At 54.4% G+C, this 27033-nt stretch overlaps 4 pseudogenes across 2 annotated transcripts in view, besides 1 other annotated feature; 2 read left to right on the forward strand and 2 right to left on the reverse strand.

The window, feature by feature from the left end:
• Positions 1351-2293: an enhancer, noted in NCBI's record as "H3K27ac-H3K4me1 hESC enhancer chr15:84853424-84854366 (GRCh37/hg19 assembly coordinates)". NCBI's record gives its function as "activates a minimal SCP1, AML or CMV promoter by ChIP-STARR-seq in naive H9 embryonic stem cells {active_cell/tissue: H9 hESC(naive)}" and the evidence as "EXISTENCE:reporter gene assay evidence [ECO:0000049][PMID:30033119]".
• Positions 3499-8858, forward strand: CSPG4P11 (chondroitin sulfate proteoglycan 4 pseudogene 11; annotated as a pseudogene).
• On the forward strand, positions 8527-25973 carry LOC440300 (chondroitin sulfate proteoglycan 4 pseudogene; annotated as a pseudogene). Its single transcript, NR_033738.1, has 8 exons — positions 8527-8857; positions 10441-10927; positions 11538-11708; positions 13903-14061; positions 16257-16492; positions 17385-17543; positions 19114-19150; positions 19783-25973. The product of NR_033738.1 is annotated as a chondroitin sulfate proteoglycan 4 pseudogene (transcript).
• Positions 15527-27033, reverse strand: part of GOLGA2P7 (GOLGA2 pseudogene 7) — a 31321-nt pseudogene continuing 19814 nt past the window's right edge. The window contains exons 2-7 of the transcript NR_027001.1: positions 21466-21654; positions 21279-21370; positions 21105-21195; positions 20856-21010; positions 19549-19699; positions 15527-17887 (exon numbers count right to left, since the gene is read on the reverse strand). The product of NR_027001.1 is annotated as a GOLGA2 pseudogene 7 (transcript). The remainder of the gene's footprint in view (positions 17888-19548; positions 19700-20855; positions 21011-21104; positions 21196-21278; positions 21371-21465; positions 21655-27033) is intronic.
• RN7SL331P (RNA, 7SL, cytoplasmic 331, pseudogene) lies at positions 22133-22379 on the reverse strand (annotated as a pseudogene).

Raw genomic sequence — 27033 nt, forward strand, 5'->3', positions numbered from 1 at the left:
GGACAGCCAGACCCTGCCATCCCTCCCACCCCCGACCAAGCATGGGGGTGCTCTGTAGGTAGCTGTGTGGCCTGACAGTCTCTACCAGTCCTGCTGTCCCTCAGCTGAGAATCAAACCCATTTCTGGATGACAGGGAATGTGTCTTCTGCTGGCTGTGTTCTCTGTGGAGCTCAGGGGAGGGAAAAGGCCAAGCTATTTCTAGGGTGCTGTCAGGACCGATGAAAAGGTCACACCCTTTCCAAGAGACACTTTTCCTGGAAAGCCCCTGGAGCTTAGCTGGCTTTTATCCTGTGATAAGCCAGAGGCTCTGGGGGGTGAGGGAGCAGAAACCCTCCTCACCCCAGCCAACGGGGACCTGTATACCTCTGCCAGTCTCTCACTTGGCCTTGCTGCTGTCCTCTGAGACTGCCTGTTCCTCCCTCTCTGTGACTCTACACCACCATCACCTCCTCCAGGAAGTCCTCTGGATTGACTCCTAGCTTATTACATCTTTATTGTGCAGACCCTCTCCATTCAAAGCCCCTCTTCAACTGCCCCCCCCCCCCACTACCTCCAAGACAGAGATTCTGGATTCTTGCAACTGCAGCCCCTCAGAGAGTGTAAGAGGGGCAGAAAAAGGAGATCAGGAGGTGAGGGAAGCAGCGCTGTCAGAGTTTCCAAAGCCCCGGCCAGCAAGGCCTCAGAGGCCTCTGTTGGAGTGGGGGCCTCCCTGGCTATGCGCTCCAGCTGCACAAGGCAGCCTCTGTGAGCCTCTCCCACTCAGCCCTACAGGAAGCAGCAGGGCCCAGCCTCAATGGACCCATTCAGACCCCAGCGCTCCGGAAAGTACCTCTGCTTTCTGCCACCATTCCACTCTGGCCAAACAGGCTCTACTCTCTTCTGATGGGAGGAGGCCGCAGGCAGGTGGTTCAGTGGTTAGGGCCAACCATCTACTTCAGTTCCTGTCTGGCCCAGATCTCTGACGTTGACCATGCCCTAGTGGGTGTATGTATACCTTTAGTGCAAGGGTGGTGTGACAGTTAATACTGAGTGTCAACTTGATTGGGGTGAAGGCTGCAAAGTATTGACCTACTGGAAGTGTCTGTGAGGGCATTGTAAAAGGAGATAAACATTTGAGTCAGTGGGCTGGGGAAGGCAGACCCACCTTTAATACTGGTGGGTACCATCTTTCTAATCAGCTGCTAGCGAATATAAAGCAGGCAGAAAAACATGAAAAGGTAAGATTGGCCTAGCTTCCCAGCCTACATCTTTCTCCCATGCTGGACACTTCCTGCCCTCTAACATCGGACTCCAGGTTCTTCAGTTTTGAGACTCGGATTGGCTCTCCTTGCTCCTCAAACTTGCAGACAGCCTATTGTGGGACCTTGTGATTGTGTAAGTTAATACTTCATAAACTCCCCTTTATATATCTATCTATATCTATATCTATATCTATTATCTATATCTATATCTATTATCTATATCTATATCTGTCTATATCTCCTATTAGTTCTGTCCCTCTAGGGAACCCTGATTAACACAGGTGGGTAGGCACAGGGAGATGTGCCCCCTTCCCCGTGGGTGCTGGGTAGGTAAATGTTTCGCAAAGGGCTTTCTTGGGGAGAGGGAACCCTGATTTTCAGTATTTGCCTCTTTTCCTGGTATAAATATTCCCACTGTGGGCAGTATCACCTGCCTCTCAAAATTCCTGAAAATTCAACAGTTGGCTCCTGGCAGCTGCTGTGAGCCGTTCCAGCCGGTGACTGTGGTGGCTCCATCCTGCAGGGCCATGTGCCCCCACCCCTTGTGCTATGGCCACCCTCACTTTAGTGTGCTGTGTTTTGCTCTTAGGAATCAATGTCTTTGCAGATAAGGCACCCCAGTAGCTGGCCACCACCTGCAGTTCCCTGGTCTGTCTCTTGCTGGCACCAAGCTGTGCTGTGCCTGCTGAGACTGCTGGGCCACCCCAGCGCATATGGTCTGCGGGGCTTACTTGATTCCCTTAGCTTCCCAGCCAAGGTGCTGGTGTTGCCAGCAGTGCTGGCAGGAGGAGGGGATAACTAGAGGGGATTTAACTCAACCCGAGGGGCTCTTACGGGATCTTTCCTGGATATCCCTCCAGGTGGGGCTGGCTGCCCTGAGGGTGTACAAACTTCCAACTCCTCCAATGGCTGAAGCTACTTCCTCGAGCAGATGGCAGCTGGCTCAGGCTGGCTAGGGACCAGTGCATGTGAGGTCGGTGCTGGATCACCCCATCAAGGCCATCAGCCTGTGCTTGTTCTTGGGGTTTGAGGGAAACCCAACAGGGATGAATCACAGTTTTTAACCTGTGTTTGTCTGCCCCCCAGCCCTGGACATCTGCAGGCAAAGTTAAAGTTATATTTGGCTCTTATCACCACAAAAGGCATAGACCAGAAATTATGGCATCGGGTTGGAAGTCAGGGAGGCTAATTTGGGGAAACTGCCTGGAGGAAGCAGCAACTCAAAAGAGGAGGAGTCACACTGTGGGACAGAACAGGCCCTGCATAAGAACCACTAACCCCAGGCAAGCCCAGACATGGCCTTCTGCCTGGGGAGGCCCTCTTTGGCCTGCTCAGCAGACCCTCAGCCCCTTCTAGGCCCTGTCTTCAGCCTCAGACTGAGTGGTGGCCTGGGGAGGTTGGGAGCTGAGCTGTTCTCATCCCTGGTTCCTTGGCCACGGTGGAAACAATGGGGCCGGATCTGACTGCTCAGCGGGGACTGTGAATAGCTCTCTAGCAGGAAGCAACAGCAGGGGTAGTGGAGGAAGTGTGGGCCCACTTTGGTTTGACACTGCATATGGTCCCCATCTGGCCTGAGAGCCTTTACTCCTTGGCAAACTCAGGCCAATAAGCTCCTGCCCCCACCCTCAATGGCAGCTGGAAGAATGGCCTGAGGGAGAAGCAGGGATAGGTGGGCTGCAGTGACATCACCCCCAGATCCCAGCCGTGGCCCCAGCCAACCCATGGAGGTGGGGCATGGCACAGCAGGTGCTGCACAGGAGCCCAAGCACAAGGGCACTTAGGAGAAGGAATCTGAGCAGGGATCGATCTGGCCTGGGGGTGATTCTCCAGAAACTCCATTCCTCGGGGCTGTGACCACCAAGCCAGGTGATCAGGCCAGTGATGTTTCCCTTTGGGCCAGGTCGGGGAGCCAGACCTGGGAGGGAGACTCCTCTGGGGCCCAGGGGAGGTGAGTCAGAGCTGGCAGAGGCCTCTGGCTCCAGGAACCTCCAAGGAGGAGACCTGAGTTGCTGGGAATTTCTGGGTCTGACCTCCTGCCAAGTCAAGGTCTGGGCTGGACACAAGGTGAGGCTGTGCCTTCTGGTGCCAGGACCAAGGAAATGCTGGGATCTGGGCAGTGCTCAGAGGCAGCACCGTATGGCAGAACCATGAGGGTGCACCAGCACGGACCCCTTTCTGCAACCCACCCATCCCTCCCTGCAGCACCTCGCCTCCTCCAGGCAAGAATCTGAGCCTTGACCACAGCTCCCTCTCTCACACAGCTTCCTTCTTTGGTTAGAACCACCTGGAGGTGACTGTGGCCATGGCTCTGACTGACATAGACCTGCAGCTGCAGTTCTCCATGTCCCAACCCGAAGCCCTCCTTCTCCTGGCAGCAGGCCCAGCTGACCACCTCCTGCTGCAGCTCTACTCTGGACACCTGCAGGTGAGTGACGTCCCCCTGGGATTGGGGCGAGATTCCTTGTCTAGCTTTGAGTGAACCCCAGCTGGCTGTTGACCTTGTGTAAGTCACTTTTCTTGGGGTCTCAAGTTCTCCACTGTGGGATGGGCAGCAGCAGCTCAGAAATGGTAAATCCTTCATGAACTGGCTCTGCCCACCGGCTCCTTCCAACCATGTTTCCCACCACAAGCCCTCACTGGCCCTTTGTGCTCTGACTACACTGAACTGCTTTCAGTTCCTGGCCATCTTATGGTCACTTGCAGCCAGGCCTTTGGTCATCACACTCCTCCTGCCAGGTGTGTGACCCACCCATTCCCTGTACCTGCCGAACTCTAGTCTCTCCTTGAAGTTTCAGTGTGGGCATCCCCTCCTCCTCGGCGAGACCCCCTCCTGGGCCCCCATGACCCCTGCGCATCCTGGTGGCACTGCACCAATTTATCTGCAGCACCACTGTCTGTCCATGAGAGTAACAGCACCAGTACTGCCTCAGCTTCATTTTTCCATTTCATCCTTCAAGACACCACAAGCTTTATTATCAAGGAGTCTTGTGGCTCCTACTTGAGTCTTACCCCATACCAGGAAGAGTTTAAGAACCCAGGGTCTTAGTCCAAATTTGGGGCAGGCTGGGTGCAGTGGCTTATGCCTATAATCCCACCACTTTGGGAGACCAAGGTGGAAAGATCACTTGAGCCTAGGAGTTCAAGACTGGCCTGAGCCACACAATGAGACCCCATCTCTATTTTAGAAGGAAAAAAAAAAACAAATTAACAAATTTGGGGCAGCCATCTCTTTCCACACCCCAGTGGGAAGAGGACTAGGGCTTGGTCAGTCTGCTGCTGTCATTGCTGCTCATTGCCACAAGGTGTCACTGTTGAACACCTATGTGGTGCAGTCTGGTGCTGATGGCTGCTGAGCTGTGCAGGTAGTGATGCCACATCCCTACAGAGATGCACCATACCAGGACTCCAAGATCATGGTTCTTAGTGTTCTGGTTCTGCAGTTCCCATACTCTGCCATCACCTATTCTAGCATCTGGGAGCACCATACCAGAGCCATTTCTTGTGTCAATGTCATGGTGACAGAACTATGTCCTTCATCTCTCCTTGAGATATTCCTCCACCACAGGTCAGGCAGCTTTTTTTTTTTTTTTTTTTCCAGAACACAGAGCATCTGCCTGGGCTCCCTGTCCCTGAACAGTTAGCCTGGCTTCCTTCAGTGACCTCGAGAAACTTTGCCAAACTTAGGGGGACTGATCAACGGATTCTCAGTTACCCATTATTCCAGGGGTGAAATCTAGATTCCAAGACAATATTTCTGGTGCTTCTCACTCAAGGAAAGAGGAGGAGAATTTAAAAATACAGGTTGGGTTTCTAGAAGAGCATCTTGCTATATGTCAGTTCCTTGTGGGCAAGGACCACATCTGATTCACACCAGGGTCCCCAGAGCCCATCCAGGCCTGGCCCAGAGTTTCCTTTGGTGAGTGTTTGGAGGATGAATAAAGAGATGGCAGGAAGGCAAGAGGAGTGGCACCAGAGGCCCTTGTCCTAGGTTTTCTGCTCTGGGGCCCCCTGTGGGGAACCCACTGTGCTTTTATAAGGGAAATGATGGATTCAAAGTGCTGCCCCCCATCTCCCATTCCCCGTCTCTCCTCAGGTCAGGCTTGTCCTGGGCCAGGAGGAGCTGAGGCTGCAGACCCCAGCAGAAATTCTACTGAGTGACTCCGTCCCCCACACCACAGTTCTGACTGTCTCAGAGGACTGGCCCACATTGTCAGTCAATGGGTTTCTGAATGCCTCCTCTGTAGTCCTGGGAGCCCCCCTAGAAGTCCCCTATGGGCTCTTTGTTGGGAGCACTGGGAGACTTGGCCTGCCCTACCTGAGGGGAACCAGCCATCCCCTGAGGGGTTGCCTCCATGCAGCCGCTCTCAATGGCCGCAGACTCCTCCAGCCTCTGACCCCCAATAAGCATGAGGGCTGTGCTGAAGAGTTTTCTGCCAATGACGATGTGGCCCTGGGCTTCTCTGGGTCCCACTCTCTGGCTGCCTTGCCTGCCTGGGGCACTCAGGATGAAGGAACCCTGGAGTTTACACTCACCACACAGAGCTGGCAGGCACCCTTGGCCTTCCAGGCAGCAGGCTGGCATGGGGACTTCATCCATGTGGACATATTTGAGGGCCACCTGTGGTCCATGGTTGAGAAGGGCCAGGGTACTGTATTGCTCCTCAACAGTGTGCCTGTGACTGACGCACAGCCCCACAAGGTCAGCATCCACATCAACATTCACCAGCTAGAAATCTCCATGGACCAGTACCCCACATGTACTTTGAACCGAGGAGTCCTCAGCTACCTGGAGCCACGTGACAGTCTCCTTCTTGGGGAGCTGGTGCAGAGGCCTCTCGTCACCTCCAGGAACACCGCTCAGGCCTGACACCAGGGGCTGCCAATGCCTCCCTGCTGGGCTGGCTGCATGGAAGACCTCAGTGTCAATGGCTAGAGGCAGGGGCTGTGGGAAGCCTTGCTGACGCACAACATGGTGGCTGGCTGCAGACTGGAGGAGGTGGAGGAGTATGAGGACAATGCCTATGGCCATTATGAAGCTTTCTCCACCCTGGCTCCCGAGGCTTGGCTGTCCGTGGAGCTAGCTGAGCCATGCGTGCCTGAGCCAGGGCTACCTCCTGTCTTTGCCAATTTCATCCAGCTGCTATCAGTGCAGTGGTGGTGACCGAGGGTGGCACAGCCTGGCTTGAGTGGTGGCATGTGCAGCCCATGCTGGCACTGATGGAGGCTGAACTGCGTAAATCCCAGGTGCTGTTCAGCGTGACCTGAGGGGCACACTACAGCGAGCTCGAGCTGGATGTCCTGGGTGCCCAGGCATGAAAAATGTTCACCCTTCTGGACGTGGTGAACTGCAAGGCCCACTTCATCCACGATGGCCCTGAGGACACCTCTGACCAGCTGGTGCTGGAGGTGTCAGTGATGGCTTGGGTGCCTATGCCCTCATGCCTGCGGAGGGGCCAAACAGACCTCCTGCCCATCCAGGTCAACCCTGTCAATGACCCACCCCACATCATCTTCCCACATGGCAGCCTTATGGTGATCCTGGAACACACACACAAGCCTCTGGGGCCTGAGGTTCTCCAGGCCTATGACCTGGACTCTACCTGTGAGGGCCTCACCTTCCAGCTCCTTGGCACCCCCTCTGGCCTCCCCGTGGAGCACCGAGACCAGCCTGGGGAGCCGGTGACTGAGTTCTCCTGCTGGGAGTTGGAGGCCGGCAGCCTAGTCTATGTCCACTGCGGTGGCCCTACACAGGACTTGACATTCCGGGTCAGCAATGGACTGCAGGCCAGCCCCCCGGCCATGCTGAAGGTGGTGGCTGTCCAGCTGGCCATACAAATCCACCGCAGCACAGGGCTGCATCTGGCCCAGGGCTCTGCCATGCCCATCTTGCCTACCAACCTGTTGGTGGAGACCAGCGCCGTGGGGCAGGATGTGACCGTGCTGTTCCATGTCACCGGAGGCCTGCCGTTCAGGGAGCTGCAGAAGCAGGGGGCTGGTGGGGTGGAGGATGCTGAGTGGTGGGTCACACAGGCGTTCCACCAGCAGGATGTGGAGCAGGGCCACGTGAGATACCTGAGCACTGACCCACAGCACTACACCGAGGACACCGTGGAGAACCTGGATCTGCAGGTGCAGGTGAGCTGGGAAATCCTGAGCAATCTGTCCTTCCTAGTGACCATCCAGAGAGCCACTGTGTGGATGCTGCAGCTGGAGCCACTGCACACTCAGAACACCCAGCAGGAGGCCCTCACCACAGCCCACCTGGAGGCCACCCTGGAGGAGGCAGGCCCAAGCCCCCCAACCTTCCACTGTGAGGTGGTTCAGGCTCCCAGGAAAGGCAACCTTCAACTACAGGGCACGATGATGTCAGACGGTCAGGGCTTCACCCAGGATGACGTACAGGCTGCAGAGGTGACCTATGGGGCCATGGCACGTGCCTCAGTGGCAGTGGAGGACACCTTCTGTTTCCATGTCACAGCTCCACCATATTTCTCCCCACTCTGTACCTTCTCCATCCATATTGGCGGTGACCCAGACATGCCTGTCCTCATGGTGCCCGAGGGTGGTGAGTGTGTCCTCTCTGCTGACCAGCTCTTCATCAAGAGTCTCAACAGTGCCAGGTACCTCTATGAGGTCATGGAGCAGCCCCGCCATGGGAGGTTGACTTGGCGTGGGACACAGGACAAGATCACTATGGTGACATCCTTCACCAATGGAGACCTGATGCATGGCCAGCTGGTCTAGCAGCATGATGACTCCGAGATCACAGAAGATGATATCCCATTTCCTGCTGCCACCAGGACCAGAGCAGTGGTGACGTGGCCTGGGAGGAGGTATGGGGTGTCTTCTGAGTGGCCATCCAGCCTGTGAATGACCACGCCCCTATGCAGACCATCAGCTGCGTCTTCCATGTGGCCTGGGGTAGGTGGCGGCTGCTGACTACAGACAACATGGCCTTCAGCAATGCTGATTCGGGCTTTGCTGAGGCCCAGCTGGTGCTGACCCACCAGGACCTCCTCTCTGGCAGTATCATGGCCACGGATGAGCCCATGCAGCCCATCTGCCGCTTCATCCAGGAGGGGCCTCAGGAAGAGGCGAGTCCTGTTCACACACTCAGGCTGACCACGGCTGGATCCCGCTGCAGGTGTCCGATGGGCAGCACCAGGCCATCACGGTGCTGGAGGTGCAGGCCTTGGAGCCTTACCTCTGTGTGGCCAATGGCTCCGGCCTCATGGTTCCTCAAGGAGGCCAGGGTACCATCAACATGGCCGAGCTCCACCTGGGCACCAACCTCAACATCTGCAGTAGGGATGAGGCCCACTACCACGTCACAGACAGCCCTCACTGGGGACAGTTGCTCCAAGCCACTCAGCCAGCCACAGCCTTCTCTCAGCAGGACCTGCTGGTTGGGGCTGTTCCCTATGGCCACAATGGCAGCCTCAGCTCCTGCAACACCCTGGCCTTCTCAATGGATGTGGGACCAGTGCACACAGATGCCACCCTACAAGTGACCATTGCCCTAGAGGGCCCAGTAGCCCCACTGAAGCTGGCCCAGCACAAGAAGATCTACATCTTCCAGGGAGAGGCAGCTGAGATCAGAAGGGACCAGCTGGAGGTGAGGAGCTGGAGGTGGTGAGCGGGGTGTGGACCAGGTAGAGGGCCTTCCTCCCAGCCTCCATGCCGGGAACACATGTGACTTGGGCTGTACCTGTGGTGGTCCCAGCTTGCGTGTGTGCACGTGCCTCAGATATGCTCCCATATATGTTGTGTTCCCAAGAGTTTCTGGGGAGCTTGCTGTACACCCATCCTCCTGGGAGTGGTGTGTGCCTCTAGAGCTGGTGCCCACTCATGTCCATGGCATGGCTGAGCATGCAGATTCCTGGACGCCACCCAGCCCTACAGAATCTCTGAAGTGGAGCCCGAGAATCTGCATTGCAGTCAGTTCCCTGGGAGGGCATCACGGGTCCTGAACTTTTGGGATTGCTGGCCGTGGAGACAGGCCGCTGCCTCTCAGACCCCTGTGTAGCCTGCTCTCTTCTCAGAGCCCAGACCAGGACCAGGAGGGTCTGTCAAGGGCTTCTGCTTACCCAGGAACCTCACAGAGCAGCCACGGGCCTTCCAGAGATCTGACATGCCCTGTGACCTCAGGCCAGTCCTTGCCCGCTCTCAGCCTTACTCTTCCACACTGCTTATTTCGGAGACCCTTCTGGTCTGCATCTGGAGCTTGGGGCCCATGGTGAGCCAGCAGATCTGGCATCAGGAAGGCCTCATGGGAGGAGGCAGTGTTTGGGCCGGGCTCTGAAGAGTACAGGCCATTAGGAGCAGAGAATGGGGAGTGGTATTCCATGCAAAAGGAACATTCCGGCCGAAGGCACAAAACAGGAATGTGAGTTTGGAGGCAGTTTAGCCTCTTGTGGATGGCCCATCAGGTGAGGGAGCCCATGTGGCCTTTGGGGTGTGAGCTCTGTAGGGCCTGTGCTGGGGGTGCCTGTGCCTCTAGGAGGGGTGGGGTGGGGTGGGGCAGGGCACCCTCTGATGGTCCTGGGTGGTAATAGCAGGGGTTGGGGAGGATGCTGCCAGCAAACCAGCCACAGGCCTGAACAGATCCTGAGCAGGGGGCCTGTGTGCGTGTGCACACACGCATGTGTACCTGTACCTGTGTGACTGCATCGGCATCTGATGAACTCATATGTCTGTGTCACTGAGTCTGGGGACATGTGATTATGCACTTCCCTGAGGGAGTGCATCTCAAGCTGTGTGACCGACACCCCGTAACCATGTGTGGGGTGGGTATTAACATGTGACCAGCTGGGGCAACCCAGTGAAACCCCATCTCTACACAAAACATTTAAAAATTAGCCAGGCATGGTGGCACATGACTGTGGTCCCAGCTACTTGGGAGGCTGAGCCCTTGAGCCTAGGACGTTGAGGCTGCAGGGAGCTGTGATCACACCACAGCACTCCAGCCTGGGTGACAGAGTGAGACCCTGTCTCAAAAAAACAAAAAATATGACCAGCTGCATGTCTGGCTGCTGTGTGTGTGAACCCACATGTGTGTGTGTCACTAAATGAGCAGTGGTATCTGGGGAAATAAGTGGAGCAAGATCAAGGCTGTTCTGGCTGCTTAGGGCCACAGTGGGCCCCTCTGAGACCCCTCTGCGCATTCCCTTGTGAGTCCTCATGACCTCTGTTAACCAGGTAGCCCAGGAGGCAGTGCCGCCAGCAGACATCGTTTTCTCAGTGAAGAGCCCACCGAGTGCCGGCTACCTGGTGATGGTGCTGCGTGGCATCTTGGCAGATGAGCCACCCAGCCTGGACCCCGTGCAGAGCTTCTCCCAAGAGGCAGTGGACACAGGCAGGATCCTCTACCTGCACTCCCGCCCTGAGGCCCGGAGCCATGCCTTCTCGCTGGATGTGGCCTCGGCCTGGGTGCTCCCCTTGAGGACGTCACGTGGAGCTGGAGGTGCTGCCTGCTGTCATCCCCACTGGGGGCACAAAACTTCAGCAGTAGAGGGGGCACAGTCGCAGCTGCACCCTGGCCCCTCCACTGCTCCGCGTTGCCAGGTCCTACTTCCCCACTCTCCCGGGCCTTGGCCTGCAGGTGCTGGAGCCACCCCGGCATGGGGCCCTGCAGAAGGAGGATGGGCCTCAAGCCAGGACCCTCAGCACCTTCTGCTGGAGAGAGGTACGGCTGTGAGAGAGGCCCAGGGGCTGCAGCCCAGCTCTGGGGGCAGAGTGGAGGGAGCCCCGGGGACTCCCAGTCCAGGGGTTATACAGAGAGGAGACAGGGAGTCACATTTCAGAAAGACCTATGCTTTAGATGCTGTATCTCGGGCTGGGCGCTGTGGCTCATGCCTGTAATTCCAGGACTTTGGGAGGCCGAGGTGGGCAGATCAGGAGGTCAGGAGATCAAGACCATCCTGGCTAACACGGTGAAACCCTGTTTCTACTAAAAATACAAAAAATTAGCCGGGTGTGGTGGCCCGCACCTGTAGTCCCAGCTACTCAGGAGGCTGAGGCAGGAGAATCGCTTGAATCTGGGAGGCAGAGGTTGCAGTGAGCCGAGATCACACCACTGCACTCCAGCCTGGGCAACAGAGCGAGAGACTCTGTCTCAAAATAAAATAAAATATCCCCTTTCTTCCTCACAACTCCTCTGGGAACCAGAACTTATGGTCCCCATTTTCCACCAATGGAAGCTGAGGCCCTAAAAGGGTCAGTCTCTTCCTGCACCCAAAGGCAGAACATGAAGGGTGCTGCTGGGGTCTGACTGCCAGCCCTGGGCCTGCCCCTAGGTGGAAGAGCATCTGATCCAGTACCTGCACGATGGGAGCAAGACACTGACGGTTTTGTCCTGATGGCTAATGCCTCTGAGATGGACCGCCAGAGCCATCCTGTGGCCTTCACTGTCACCATCCTGCCTGTCAATGGCCAACCCCCGACCTCATACAAACTCAGGCCTGCAGGTGAGCATATTCCTGGGACCACCCCCAATGTCTGCTTTGAGAAAGAGGCCAATGTCCCCTACTTCCCGGCACAGATCTCCCCCCCTCTGAGCCTCAGTTTCCTCCTCTGCAAAATGAGGACACTACTGTGTGCCTCACGCAGTTGTTGGAAGGAGAGATGTGAGATTGTGCTGAAATAGAACACAGGCGGGAGGTTTTGTTATTGGACATTTGCAAGTACGGCAGGCAGACTTCTGAGCAGCCATGGGTGGCTCTGCTGTTCCTTCTCCTGTGGCTTAGGACCAGAACACCTGAAAGAATCACTTACAAGCCCTTAAGGGCTGGCGTCAGGGTGGGACCGTTAAGCTTCCCACCTTCACCCCAGCAAGTGAAGGCCTCAGCTTGGCTTCCCAAACTCCTGCCCCTTGTCCACAGCAGAGCAGGGCCCCCATTTGGCAAAGGTGGAAGTTGAGGCCCAGACATGGGATGGAACTTCTCCATGATTGCAAAAGTAGTTCTGGTGGAACAGAAAGGGCATGGCTTTACTAAGCCCAAGTGGCAGGGCTTTGAACCCCAGCTTCTGGGGCGCGTCCTCCCCAGTCAGCAGAAGCCACTGAAGGTTCCGCAAGAGGGCTGACTTGGGCTGTCTCTGACATGGGGCACCGGGGGGCTTTGGTGGTCTAGGATGTGCCTGTAGGGGGTGGCCTCATGGTGCGGAGGCCACAGAAGAGTGGGACACAGCACCCTGGAACCACAGGCTGGGATGGCTCTGTGGCAGTGCGGCCACCAGGTGGTGCCATCTACCCGTGTTTGTTCCGGGAGCCCAGTGATGGGGCCCTGCCTCCCACAGTATGGCCCCTCTTGCCAAGGCTCGGCCTGAGGGCTCCCTGCGGCCAGGGGAGGAAGCCCAGGAATGCCAGAGGGCTGTTTTCTGGGCATGTGAGTCCCACTGCAGCACTGCCCACAAGTAATTGACCCAGCAAGACTGGTACCAGGACCTCAGGAACGGGTGCCTGTTCTGCTTGCTAGTGGGAGGCCTGAAAAGGGGCCCCCTTTGCCCAACACGAGGAGGGCCCGTAACTGCTCTGGAAGCACCTGGGCCCATCCCAGCACTGCTTCTGTGCTGCAGGACAGTGCCAACCATCAGGCTTCAGCTCTCTGCGCCTCCCACCCCTCCCTTAGCTGGAAGGAGTGCTCGTTTCTAAAATCACTGTTCCCACCTGTGCCCAGCCCCTGCCAGGCACACATGGAGGGTCTGAAAGGAGACTGCTGCCCCACCAGTGAGACAGATTAAGGAGCACTGTTGGTCAGCGCTGGGGGTTTCTGGGGGTGAGAACTTGGTGAGGGTAAGAGCTAGGGCCTTCCTGGGTTGGGTACACAAGCTGGTCTTGAGGGACACACAGGACTAGGACAGATGAAGAGCAGGGATGCTGGGCCTGGAGGGTGGCCTTCCCTGGGGTGACAGGGAAGGTGAATGCAGGGAGGCCATTTGTGCAGGGGAGCCACAGCAGCGCCAGCCTTGATGCCACCTGAGGGCCTGAGCCTCAGTGGGGTTGGAGCCCTGGTGGCAGCCCAGGGCCGGGGAGGAAGGGGTGGGTAAGTGTGGCAGGGCAGAACCTTCACAGGCCTGTGTCCCCAGACGTGGGAGGGGGCCACCGTGCCCATCCCTACAGAGGCTCTGAGGAGCATGGATGGTTACTCTGGGCCCAAGGACCTGGTGTACACCATTAAGCAGCCCAGCAATGGGTGGGTAGTGCGGTGGGCGGTGCCGGGCACTGAGGTGCGCAGCTTCATGCAGACCCAGCTGGATGGTGGGCTCGTGCTGTTCTCACACAGAGGTGGGTGCTGAGGGCCGAGCCCCAGGTTTCTGCTGCCCACGGGGGCACCCTGAGGTGGGGAGCCAGTTCAGGCCAGCTGGACCCAACACCCTTGTCCCCAGGGGCCCTGGACAGAGGCATCCACTTTGGCCTCTCTGACGGTGAACATACTTCCTCCAGACACTTAGCTTCTGAGTGACGGCCCAGAAGCAAGTGCTTCACTCGCTGGAGGGCAGCCAGACACTGACTGCCCAGGTGGGTGTGCTGATTGTGGGCATTCCTGGGTGCAGGGGGCTGGGGCAGAGCTGAGGGTGGCATGCCAGGGTCACACTGCCTCTCTGCAGCCACAGGCCTCGGCCTGGATCACAAAGGCTGATGGCCCCTTTTGCCTCTGGCAGAGTCCGTCCAGCCACTCAGCAGCCAGAGCCTCAGAGCCAGCAGGCACCGACCCCCAGCTCCTGCTCTACCATGTGGTGCGGGGCCTCCAGCTAGGCCGGCTCTTCCACGCCCAGCATGACAGCACAGGGGAGGACCTGGTGAACTTCACTCAGGCAGAGGTAAGGGCCCCACTCTGCAGCCACCACTCAGATGCGCCCAGCCTCAGGTGGCCACTGTGCCATGGACATCATGTGGACATGGGCACCAGCTCCAGCATCACCGGCAGCAGACACTCCCAGGCCTGCCATGGTCCAGGACCTGGTGTCCTGCCCTCTAGGCGTCATCAGGCTGGCAGGGCAAGTTCATGTTCCCAGAAGGAGGGAGAAGAATGCAGGAAGTCGGGGATACAGGGCCCTAGAGCAGGGCTGGGGTCTTGGGGTGTGGCTTCCCAAAGGAAGCTAGAGCTGGACCCAAGGGTCTGGAGAGGGAGAACCATGTAGGGGCACTAGTGGCACCCCAGTAGCTGGTGAGGGGCAGTGCTTGGTGGGGGATGGAGTCGGAGGTGAAGCAGCTGCTGGGGCCTGTGGGCAGAGGTGTGAGCCTCGGGCTCAGATCAGGTGCCAGCCAGAGGAAGAGTGGATCCTAGGAGCAGATGAGCTGATGAAAGGCAGCTGAGTCGGCCAAAAGGGGGAAGCCACTGTTCATCTGTCCTGGTGGCTTCAGAGAAGAACTAGAGCTCTCAGCCATGGGTAGTGGCAGACTCTCTGTGGTAATTGTGCCATGGGGGCCAGCCCAGTCATGGTTTAAATGAACACCTCTCCCCAAAGGCAGAATGGGAGTTGTTCCATAGCAGGGCAGGGCAGGGCAGACTCTTGTGGGCCGTCCTGGGCAGGCAGCACACCTGATGCCCCCATCAGGAGGCTGCGTGAGCATCTGGACCCAGCACATGATCACAGTGAGTTCTGGGCAGGGAGCGGTCTTGTGGGGCGCAGAGCTGACTCTGTCACTCAGGAGCCACGGCCCGCAGCACTGCCCCAAGTACCTCCAGAGGGGACCCCTGTCAGCCCTTGAAAATGGCAGAGCCCACCCCAGCCCCCTTTTCAAGCTCCCTTGCTTCGGCAAGGACCTCCTGAGCCTGGCGCTCTCCCTCCTGAGAGGTGCAGATGGTACTCAGCAAGTGCAAAGCCGAGGTTTCTTGGGCCTCTCACATCAGCACCTCCCAGACCTCGGTTCTGTATTTCCCTGGAGCTCCACTCCTGCTATGGTGCCCTTCCCACAATGAGATATTCATCAGGTTGGTGTCTACAGCTGCTGCGTACCCTCACTTGCTGGGAGCCTTTGTCAAGAATGCCCAGGAATGAGGAGGGCACAGGACGCAGACCATCAGCAACCCTCTTGCACTCTATAGTCCCATGTTACTCAGAGCTTCCCCATGCTCCAGCAAGATGAAGGACTAGATTGAATGGGCACCAAGCTGACAGTGCCACCCAGGAAAGCCGGGAAGAGGCTACATGGGCTACCTGGCCCACTCAGGGAGGAGGGCAGGACTGGGTATTGTCTTGACAGCAACCCTGTCCCACAACACTGAACTGGGTAGGGAAGGGGTCAGGTGTCCTCATTTTTCAGATAAGAAAACTGAAGCTCCCAGAGGGCAGGTAAATGTATTCAGAGCACATGGCAAGTAAGAGGCAAAACTTCTGCCAGCAAGTCCAGGATTTTTTTCACCAGAGGACATTGCTTGGTCCCCAGACCTCAGGACCCTGTGTTTTGCCTCACTCCCACCCACAGAGCTCCTGTATCCAGGTATCAACTCCAACTCCCACTCCTGGAGGCCGAGGCAGGAGGATCACTTGAGCCCAGGAGTTCGAGACCAGCCTGGGCCACATAGTGAGACCTTGTCTCCACACAAAAATTTTAAAAATAGCTGGGCTTGGTGGTGGCATGTGCCTGTAGTCCTAGCTACTCGAGAGGCTGACGTTGGAGGATCACTTTGAGCCCAGGAGGTGGAGGCTGCAGTGAGCAGTCATCACTGTACTCCAGCCTGGTGACAGAGCGAGACCCTATCACCGCCCCCCGCCCCACCAAAAAAAAACTGAGTAGACAGGTGTCCTCTTGGCATGATAGGTCTTAAGTCCCCTCCCAGATCTGTGACATTTGACAGGTGTCTTTTCCTCTGGACCTCGGTGTCCCCATCTGAGTGAGAAAAGGCAGTGGGGAGGTGGATCTTCCAGTCGAAGCGGTATAGAAGCCCGTGTGAAAAGCCATACTCCAAGGGGCTCCAAGTCCAGCGCACAGTCCCAGAAGGGCCCAGCAAGGCAGCCAGGGCGGCACAGGCACCAGGTCCCAACCTTCTTCCCTGTTTGCCCACTCTCAGACCCCGGAGTTCATCATCTCGGAGCCGCTGGCCAATATGTACTCATGTGGGAACCAGAACACACTGATGGAGGAGTTGGCAGAGCAGGCACAGCAGCACGACGAGATGCTGCACATGCACCACGCGCTGAAGGAGGCGCTCAGCATCATCGGTGACATCAACAGGACCACTGTTACCATGCCCCCGCCCGTGGACGACACCTGGTTGCAGGTGCAGAGCATCCCTGACGCACACAGGTACCAGAGACTGCCCCCCACGGCCCCAAAATCCCCCACCCGGGATGCCCAGAGGAGTGCCCTGGGGACAAGTGGCACACCCCCTCACCGGGGTGGCTCCCACCTGGAGTGACGGGGGGAGCTTGACAAGGAGCACTGGCTGCGGGGGGGGGGGGGGGAGGGGTGGGATGTTCTCGCTGCTGGGGGCGGGGCTTAAGCTCCGGCAACCGCCTTGGGGTGTGGCAGGGAGGAGCTTCAGTGCATGGGTGTGGCCGGCACTGCGCTGGGGCGGGGCCGCCCATCTCTCCCCTCCCTGTGCCTCCCAGGTCGCCCAAGTCCAGCGCCAGGATGCCCAGGCCCTGCCATGTCCCTAGCCCGGCCTGGGTGGCAGGGCCCAGCTCCTGGGCGGCAGGACCCAGCTCCTGGGCTTCCTCCTGCTGGGTCCGCCCTTGGGGAAGTGTGCCCCATACCCTCCAGGCCAGAGGCTTCCCCTGATCCCTTTGGGCCCTACCCCCCTGGTGCTCTTGTGCCCCAGCCGGGGTCCCCAGGTAAGTAGGGGCTGAATGCAGCCAAAGAGGCCGCTGGACAGGCGTGGCCAGGAAGGAAATGGGACTGGATTCCAGAGCACCACATCTGGCCGCCAGAACTGGCCGTCTCCATCCAAGGCACTGGGACCATGGGTGCCGGAGCCACGTGTGGCCGAGGGCTGGCAGAGCCTGCCCCCCAGGGATCACTGAGTCCTGGAGGTGGTCGTTTTTGAGGAGGGGGCTGTGGGGCTCGTCCCACCTGCCGCCTTCTGTCCAGCACTTGCATGACACTTCCCTCTATTTTCACTCTTGGCGGCTGCCCACACTTTGCATTTCTCTTCCTTTCTTCTCGCTGTCCTCCATCCTCCATTCCGTCCAACTCCTAGCCCAGTCCCGGGGGCGCCTACTTCAGGTCTGAGAGTCTGAACTCCGAGATGCTCTGGGTGTGTGGATTTCCTTCAGCTACCCTGATGTCCCCACTTCCAAGTCCTGACTCCTTTGAGCCATCCCAGGGGGTGTCCGGCCACTGGACCACAGGAGCAGAGGCGAGTCTGTGACTGTGTGACCAGCAAGGTGTGTGATGTGTGCGTGAGCGAGCACACGAGTGTAAAGAATGGCACCCAGACCTGAGCTAGGACAGAGGGAGCCTGGGGGCCACAGGCAAGCTCATTTCTTCTCCACACCCCTCCCCGCCCGACCCTGTCTAAACTAATGGGGTAGTGGTAGCCGCAAGGGCAGGGATGGGAGTGGCTGAAGCCTACTTCACTCCCAAAGATTTCTAAGGAAAATGGTTCTACTGCATCCTTTGGCTGGGCCTTGTTGACCCGTGACCCTCTTTCAAGAACATTCACTCTGATTTCCAGTGTGCCGTCTCCACTGGCCACGTTCTCTAAGGAAGAACAATAGCATCTGTTTTTGTTTCCAAATGGCTGGAGAGTGGGGCTGTGGGACCAGCGCCCATATATAAAAATGAAGCAGGGATTGGGGCTTGCCCTGTGATGTGCTGTTGACCAAGTTAGAGGGGTATAGGCAAGCAGCAAAGTATTGGGCAAGATCACTGGACTGGGAGTCCAGAGATGCTGCTTCACCCTGGGGCTTTAGGCAAGTCCCTTTCCCTCCCAGAGCCTCAGCATCCCTTTTAGCAAATTATGACATTCTGCCTTTCTCCTAGAATGGCTGTGGGGATCAAGGGAGACAGTGGCCATAGGGATGCTATGTTAACCGTAGATGCGTCTGTAGGAGCACTTTCCTAACTGCCAACGTGAGTTCAGACTCTTCAGGCTATTTGGCACCCAGGTCTATGGTGAGGTGTGACATATGGGATGTAAAGTTTGATGCCTGCTCTGACTCCAGTCTTGCTAACACACACACGAAACCTTTGGCAAATCATGACCCTGCCTTGGGGAAAAGGGCAGTCTGGGAGAGCTTCTTCAAGGCAGCCTGGCTTCAATGCAGTCCGGGGCATGACGGAGATAGGCATACGTTGTGAGGAACTGGAGGGTAACTGGGTAAAGAGCTGCAGTGTGGGCAGAGGTGTAGTGTGGGTCACAATGAGGATAGCCACTGGCCAAAGCAGGGAACAGAGACAGAATGAAGAGCTCTGTGGGGAGGGTGGGGCACAGGGTGGAGAACCTTCAAAGTCCAAAGAGTATGACTTGTTGGGATTCAATGCTGTAGGCAGTAGGGAGCCATGGAAGGCTCTTAGGTGGAGAAATGACAGCCGGACATTAGTGAGCAAGCCCTGTCTCCCTGAGCAGCATGGGTGGTCCTCTGAGCACGCCAGGCACGAGTGTGCAGGGAGCTGGTGCAAATGCCTCTGTGTGCGGGTGAGCATCTGTGTTGTGACTCTGCCCACGCATGTGCTTCAGTGTGCCGAGTGGCTGCACGCCCCAGATCCATGCGGCACGTGCCGGCCGGTGAGGGTGCTGGGCACCGGGAGGTGGCGGAGAGGGCGACGTATGCGTGTTGTTTGTGGGCATGTGTTAGAGTGTGCATGCGGGCCGTGGGGCCTCACAGCATGTGTGTGCACAATCTGGCGTGTGCGTGTGTCCGCCACCCCCAGGCCTGCCCCACCCATGCATGGGACCTGCCATGTGATTTGATGCTGTCTTTCAGAATCACTATCAGTGGCCCCTGAGGAGCATCAGCCATGGTAGGTACATGCCTCACTGCCTGCTGCATGAATGGTCTGCCTGCCCCGCTGCCCCAGCTCCACACAGGGGGCATACCTGGAGCCTCAGAGCCAGGCTGCCTGCCCCTCCCTTCTAGAGCTGCAGACTTGCTCTTTCCTCTTTCTGTCCTTGTGCTGCTGGCTGTCTCACTTCCCTCCCTGCCAGCCACAGGACTCAGTGCCACTGCTCAAGGTCTCCATGGCTGAGCCTGGGGGCTCTTACAACAGGCTCCATGCCGAAGGTGGCAGATGTGGAACCATCAGAGAGGGCACAGAGCTCATGGTTTATGGTGTAGGGGCTGGGAGCTTGGAGGGGGTTGTGTGGGGGGCTGGACTCAGGCGGCCAGAGGCCTGGGCACATCATCCTGGGCACGCCGTACCTGTCATGCAGTCTGAGCCATGCTGCCAGGGCAGGTATCCAGCTCCCAGCCTGGGAGTGCCGAGAGCCAAATCCACTGCAGATTAGGGGTGATAGTCAGGGTCCCACCTCCTCTATCTGTCAGCAATCCAGTGGTGATCTAGGATAAAAGCCTGAGAGTTCAATACACACGGTTATCCCACAACACACTTCATAGGCCATGCAAGGACACACAGCCCCCTTCCCTCCTTCCCAGGTACCATCACAGCTGCTAGCGTGTGACTGAAGGCTGGGTCCCTGGCCAGCGCTACTGAAGCACTACTGCCAGCCAGCAGACTCACGGACCTTGGCCTGTTGCTCCTAGGGGTCACCTGTGCTATTCAGCCAAGGAGACCACAGTGCTTGCTGGCCCAGCTGAGCTCCGCCTAGCGAGCCCACCTGCCTTTCCTGCCACGGAGTCTCCCTCTTCTGCTTTTCCCAGCAGGAAGGGCCCAGCCTCACCTATGCAACCTGCAGCCCCCCGCCAACCAGTTGAGGCTCCCCTCTTAGACTTATAAGTCTACGGGCAGTGGCATCTAGCTACCTGCCCTCCCTGCCTTCCCCAGGGTCCCTTCAGTGGACCCTGGGCTTTCTGACTGCCCAGAGAGGGGCCTCTGGCGCTCACTCCAGCCCGCCATCCCTTATAGCTTCACCATTTTGGTTCAAGCAGTGTTCCTTCTGTCAGGCTTGGTGGCTGTTGGGTGGGGCTCCCCAAGCAAGAGGTGGCCCTGGGCCAGTGGGTTGGAAGATGGGGTGACCACAGAAGAGGGAAGCCGGGGGGGTTGAGCATTGGTCTGAACTGTGGGTGGACTGCCTGGGTGCCATGAGAGAGGCCAGTGTGTGTGGGGTGGGGAGGGCTGCCACAGCCCCCAGGCACTACCTATGAAGCTCTAGCTTCTCCCTCCATCTTCCTCCCCTTTCCCTTCCAGCCCCTCTTTTCCAGGAACCTTGCCACGCCCACACCTACGCCTTCCCCTTCCCGGCTCTCAGATGATGGTGGTGTTTATCTCCCTGTTCTCGGGAGCCCAAAAAGAATGGCATGCAGGGGTTGCTGCCCATGCCTGGGTGCTCCTGGGGAGTCCTGCATTACAGGAAGCAGCTGCTGGATCTGCTGTGCAGTGGGGTTGTCGTGGGGAGAACCCTCCCTGTCCTCTCCTGGTGCAGCCTCCACGCTATCAGTGAGGCTCACCTCACAAAGATCTTCAGAGAGAGGGAGGGGGGTGGGAATCTGAGCACAGTGCGAGCCTCCCCTGCTCCTGCCTGCCCACCCCACCTGAGGGCTCTACTCACCACCCTGCTCGTCAGCACACCCAAGCTCCTGGGCTACTGGGGCTCCTAGAGTGGGCTCATCAGCAGGGTTCTGGGCAATGGTCAAAATTTGCCATGCCCCTCCTTGTGGTCGCCCACAAGCTGCAACACCTGCCCCGCAGCTCCTGCAGGTTCACCTGGAGGAAGGGGTGTTAGCTGCCATGCCGGTGCCGGCACGCACGTTCACCCCCACCTCCACCCCCACCCCCACCGAGATGTTGCACACCCTACCTTCATCTCCTCCTGGTCCTGGGCCAGCCTGACGATGTCCTCCTCTCCCAGTGCTGCGTCTCTGACACTGCCCCCTGGCTGATGTACTTTCCTGCAGGAGGACATGGCTCAGATGCTGGGGCCCCTCGGATGGCCTGGCAGCTCCCCCCAGCGGTGCCCTAGCCTCTCGCTCACTATGGTGTCTGTCTGTCCTGAGAGGTGGATGAATTGAAGCTCTAGTTTCTCTACCCGCTCCTTCAGGTCCACCTTCTCCTTCCATAAAGTCGCTGTGGAGCCAAAATAATGGGGTCACATGTCAGGAGTCACCTGCCTTGTCCTGCCCCACCGCCCCCCTTGTTGGCCCATGCCAGGACCTACTCACCTGCAGCTTCTCCATGGCCCCCTGCAGGGCCCGGTGGGTCTCCCCAAACACAGACTCACCCCCACTCTCTGGGGCTGGGGCCGCTACCTCTGGCTTCTTCTGGGACGAGGCCACTGGGTGAGCCAGGGGCTGGCAGCACACCCTTTGTTCCTCCTGGGCACTGGCTCCAGCGGAGTTGAAAAATGCCACCTGAAGACAAGAGGTGAGTATTCTTGTAGGGGTATACACATAACAACTGGGGCAGGCAGATGGAGCATAGCCCCTTCCTTTCGGGCCTCACAGAGTGCACCTGTTGGTCACAGGTGAAATGGTGTCTGACCACTGGCTCCCAGGAGGAGTGAAAGTCCACAGAAGTCAGAAGGCGGGGAAACCAAGAACATAAGGGGGTTTCGGAGGGACCACAGAGGAAGGTGGCAAAGTAGGGGCAGGGAAAGTCAGGCTCACCATGGCCTCCCGGCTCTCCAGGTCCCCTGGGATGTTCGGCATGGGCCGAGGCGCCTCCTGCTCACTGTCCAGATGTCCTCCTCCATCTCCTGTGGGGGGTGGCCAGAGGGGTCCTCAGACAACCCAACAAGGGAGGTACAGTGGGCCCGCCTCTGCCCCCACACTCACTGTGTAACCTTGAGCCAGCCCCTCCCCAGAGGGGAATGAGCTGTTCTTTATTTTGAATTTTAAGAACCAAGATCTTGCTATATTGCCCAGGCACAGTCCCACTACCGATTGGCGCAGGAATTCTGACCTGCTCCCCTTCTGACCTGAGCCAGTTCTCCCATCCTTAGGCAACCCGATGGCCCCCTGTTCCCAGGAGGTCACCATACTGATACTGAACTTAGTGCGGACACCTTGTCGGCATAATGACCGACACAAAATGCTTAAAAGGTAACCTGACTCTTTGTTCAGGGCTCAGTCCTTTAGATGTTAATCTGACTGGGCCAGTGCACCTAATAATATATATCCTCCTCAGTCTCTCTGATTCCTAAATTATGCTGCTGTACGGGGAGAGAGGCAGCAGGGTAGTGGAGTCATACCAAGCAACAAGACAGGGTAGTGGCCAGGCATGGTGGCTCACACCTGTAATCCCAGCAATTTGGGAGGCCAAGGCGGGTGGATCACCTGAGGTCAGGAGTTCGAGACCAGCCTGGCCAACATGATGAAACCCCATCTCTACTAAAAACACAAAAATTAGCTGGGCATGGTGGCAGGTGCCTGTAATCCCAGCTACTCAGGAGGCTGAGGCAGGAGAATTGCTTGAACCCAGGAGATGGAGGTTGCAGTAAGCCAAGATTGTGCCATTGCACTCCAGCCAGGGGGACAAGAGGGAGACTTCACCTCGAAAGACAGACAGACAGGCTAGTACGTTTTCCACAAATTTCAATTTTACTCTCTTCCCCCACCACACACACACACAAAGCATTTGAGGGATGGGAGGAAGAAACTGAGATCACAGGAAAAATTGTAAGAGACATTCAGAAGGACAGGTCTTAGAAATTTACTAGTTTTGGGGGGAGGTCAGAACAGGTGTATATAAAAGAATATTAAGACAGTTCCCAGGTTTAGGCATATGTGACTAGATAGAGTGCTAGGAGATGGATACGTGAAAATTTAAATATCATCATTTTGAACACCCATGTCACTCCAAGTGAGATTCCCTAAATATATGATATACAGACAGATATATGGGTTTGAAACTCTGGAGATGAATACAAATTTAGGAGTCCCTGGAACACAGGTCATGACTTAAGTAATGGGAGTCAAAGATTACTCAGAGAAAGCACAGAATGAGAAGAGAAGAAGTAGGACAAGGAAGAAGAGATCGGAGGAGACCAAGAAAGGGTGATAAGATCAAAACAGGAGAAAAGAATCCGACAGAAGTCTCATTTGATTATCATGTCCCTTCCCAGAGGACAGGGACATGTCTTTTTTGTCTTTTATACCCAATTATCACAGGTCCTGGTGCAGCAGACACACAGTTTTTTTTTTTTTAATTGTGTTGTACTATTCACAGTTTCCTGTATTCACCAGGGGAGAAAAAAGTAAGTATAAAGAAGCACAGACACAGATGTTTTTACACTGTGTACTAAAGGGGTCAGATTATACACAATATTTTATGCCTTACTTTTTTACTTAATATATCTTAGAAGTTTGCACGTGCTCTTATGGAAAGACTGGCTGCATTTTTTGGTCCACAACAGAACAACAGAATATTCTATTATAAAACGGCACACTATAATTTTTATTTAACCAACTCTTTATTGGTGGACATTAAGAATGGAGGAATGTTTCAACAAAGGAACAATCAACAGTATCAAAATACTGCAGAGGGGTCAATTTGGGGACTAAGAGGGGAGCCACTGGATTTGACAACTAGGAGATAAATTTTAGTGCAACGATGAAGGCAGAATCCAGAGTATAATGAGCTCAGTGAAAAAAGGTGAAGACATGTAGCTTATTCTCTCAAGAAACTAGGCTATGATAAACTGGCAGAGGCTCTAAGAGTGGGAGGTGAGTTGTTTTCTCCTTCATGTAAATATATTTACCTTTTAAACACTAGGCCCAATTTTATATCCTATTTCATTTAACTTTATGAACATATTTATGTATGTATGCATGTATGTATGTATCTCATGTGATGTTTTAGACACTGAAAAATAACTCATTTCTATTATAAAACTGATATCTTTAGATGTTCAGAAGCAACTTCCTAAAAGGAGGTAGCAGTAATGGAGCTATGTCTATCATTCTTTCCCATCAACCCCCTTGATGGAGATGTAAACATGTGTCCATCAAGCCTTTAATTTTTACCTCTTATCTTCATGGCTCTCCATACAAAACTTAACTCTTTTTTTTTTCTATTTGTATACGTATATTTATATGTATATCTATATCGAGAGAGAGAGAGAGAGAAAGAGTCTTGCTGTGTTGCCCAGGCTGATCTCAAACTCCTGGGCTCAAGCAATCCTCCCACCTTGGCCTCGCAAAGTGCTGGGATTACAGGCGTGAACCACTGTGCCCAGCCTCAGCCTTAACTCTTAAAATATCTTCAAACCAATATTCTTCTGTTCTAATTTTTAAGAATAGATGTGTTTAAACCAACTAACTTATTTTGACAAAAATTGGAGTTAAGACTCAGACTTCCTCAAATAGTTCTCCTAAAACCATTTACAGAATAATCTATCTTTTCAGTATTAAGTTAAAATACCACCTTTTCCTTATACTAAATTCTCGTTTGCATGACTCTGGTTCTAAACTTCCATTGCCTTTATCTGTCTGGCCCAGGGATAGTCCACAATATTTTATTTACTATCTGGTTGAAAGAGTCTATACTTTATTACTTTTTATTACTTATTCTTCTAAACAAATTTTAGAGTCGTTTTGTCAAGTGTCAAAAATAAATCTGCCAGAATTTGTACTGAAATTTGTGTGTGTGTGTATATATATAATACACACACACTATATATAAAATATAAAATGTATATATACAATTTATATATATAAATATTTATAAAATATGAAATATATATATATATACACACACACACTTTTCTAGTTCTTTTTTTTTTTTTTGAGACAGGGTCTCACTCTGTCACCTAGGCTGGAGTTCAGAGGCATGATCTCGGCTCACTGCAACCTCTGCCTCCCAGGCTCAAGTGCTCCTCCCACCTCAGCCTCAGAAGTAGTTGGAAATACAAGTGTGTGCCACAGACACCCAGCTAATTGTCATCTACCCGCCTCAGCTTCCCAAACTGTTTGGATTACAGGTATGAGCCACTGTGCCCAGCAGAAATTACATTTACAAATTAATATGAAGACATGGTGATAACTAACATATTTATAACATGAAATCTGCTCATCCAGGAACATAGAATGCAAATCTTTCATTCCACTCAGCAAAATTTTGTCCTGTCCTTGATAAAAGTCCTGCACATCTAAGTTTATTCCTAGGTATTTAATTTTTGCTGAAATACCTGAAAAAATACTTCATCACTATATCTTCTACGTGATTATAGCTAACACTGGGGAAGGCTATTGATTTTTATATAAAAGAACTTTTAACCAGTAATCTTAAAAATTGTTTTTCTCAGTTGGTTCCTTTGGATATTTTTAGGTAAACAATCATGTCAACTGAAAATAATGATAAATTTTCTATAAAGACTATGACATCACAGGAAAATACAGTAAATACTTTTTAAAAGAATATAAAAGGGCCAGGCACAGTGGCTCACGCCTGTAATCCCAGCACTTTGGGAGGCCAAGGTGGGCAGACCATGAGGTCAGGAGATCGAGACCATCCTGGCTAACACGGTGAAACCCCATCTCTACTAAAAAATACAAAAAATTAGCCGGGAATGGTGGCGGGCGCCTGTAGTCCCAGCTACTGGGGAGGCTGAGGCAGGAGAATGGTGGGAACCCAGGAGGTGGAGCTTGCAGTGAGCCGAGATCACGGCACTGCACTCCAGCCTGGGTGACAGAGCAAGACTCTGTCTCAAAAAAAAAAAAAAAAAAAAAAAGAATATAAAACTATAGAGAATATGACCTCAACTATTAAGCATATGTGTAAGGGTTATGTATTTTAATAGCAAAGAAAAACTATATACTGGTAGAAAATGACCATCATGTCAACAGTCAATAGTGGTTATATTAGATAGAGAAATTATGGGAGACTTTAATTTTTTTCTTTTATCTTTTCTGTACTTTACCAATTTTCTCAACAATGGTTGCTTATGAGTTTTAAAATTAAAAAAAGGTTTTAAAAATTTTTCCAACATGGAAAGTTATATTTCTTTATATACTAAAACAAAAACAAAACTTTCTATTTGAATACCTATGGCAAAACCCTATCTCTACAAAAAATACAAAAAATTAGCAAGGTGGGGTAGTACACACCTGTAGTCCCAGCTACTCTGGAGGCTGAGGTGGGAGGATCACCTGAGTCCCCAGAGAATGAGGCTCCAGTGAGCCGTGATCATAGCACTGCATTCCAGCCTGGGAGACAGAGAAAGACCCCATCTCAAAAAAAAAAAAAAGAAAGAAAGCAAAAAGAAATATCCATAATGATCTGAAATGCCTATCTGTATGAGACTGTCCTTTGTTCACATTTTTTCAAGCAAATATCACACAATAAATTGAATGCAGGTACAAATGACATATCAAACATCAAAGAAATTTGCAAAGGACGTAAGACTGTACTACCTTGGGTTTAGAAATTTTCTTATCATAAAAGCATTTATAACAATATTTTGTGAGCTTTTAAGGAATATTTTAAGTATTTCTGATTTAATTTCTAGTGATAAATACCAATAGATATAACCTACATACACAAAAGCTCCTTGGGCCCTCAATATACTTTTAAGAGTGTAAAGGAATCCTGACCCCAAAACTTTGAGAACTGCTGCCTTCCCCTCCACTTTATTCCTTCCCTAGAATTTCTTCCTTGGAAGAAACATTCCTTTGCCATTCTATGTTAACTTACATAGTTCCATTGAGGCCAGTTTTGCTACCTCTCTCCCATCTTTCCACATCCCTCTCTTGACACAAAACCTGACCAAAGGACTCTACCGGCCCACCCCA

The sequence above is a fragment of the Homo sapiens genome, chromosome 15 (genome assembly GCF_000001405.40).
Source record: "Homo sapiens chromosome 15, GRCh38.p14 Primary Assembly".
Lineage (NCBI taxonomy): Eukaryota > Metazoa > Chordata > Mammalia > Primates > Hominidae > Homo > Homo sapiens.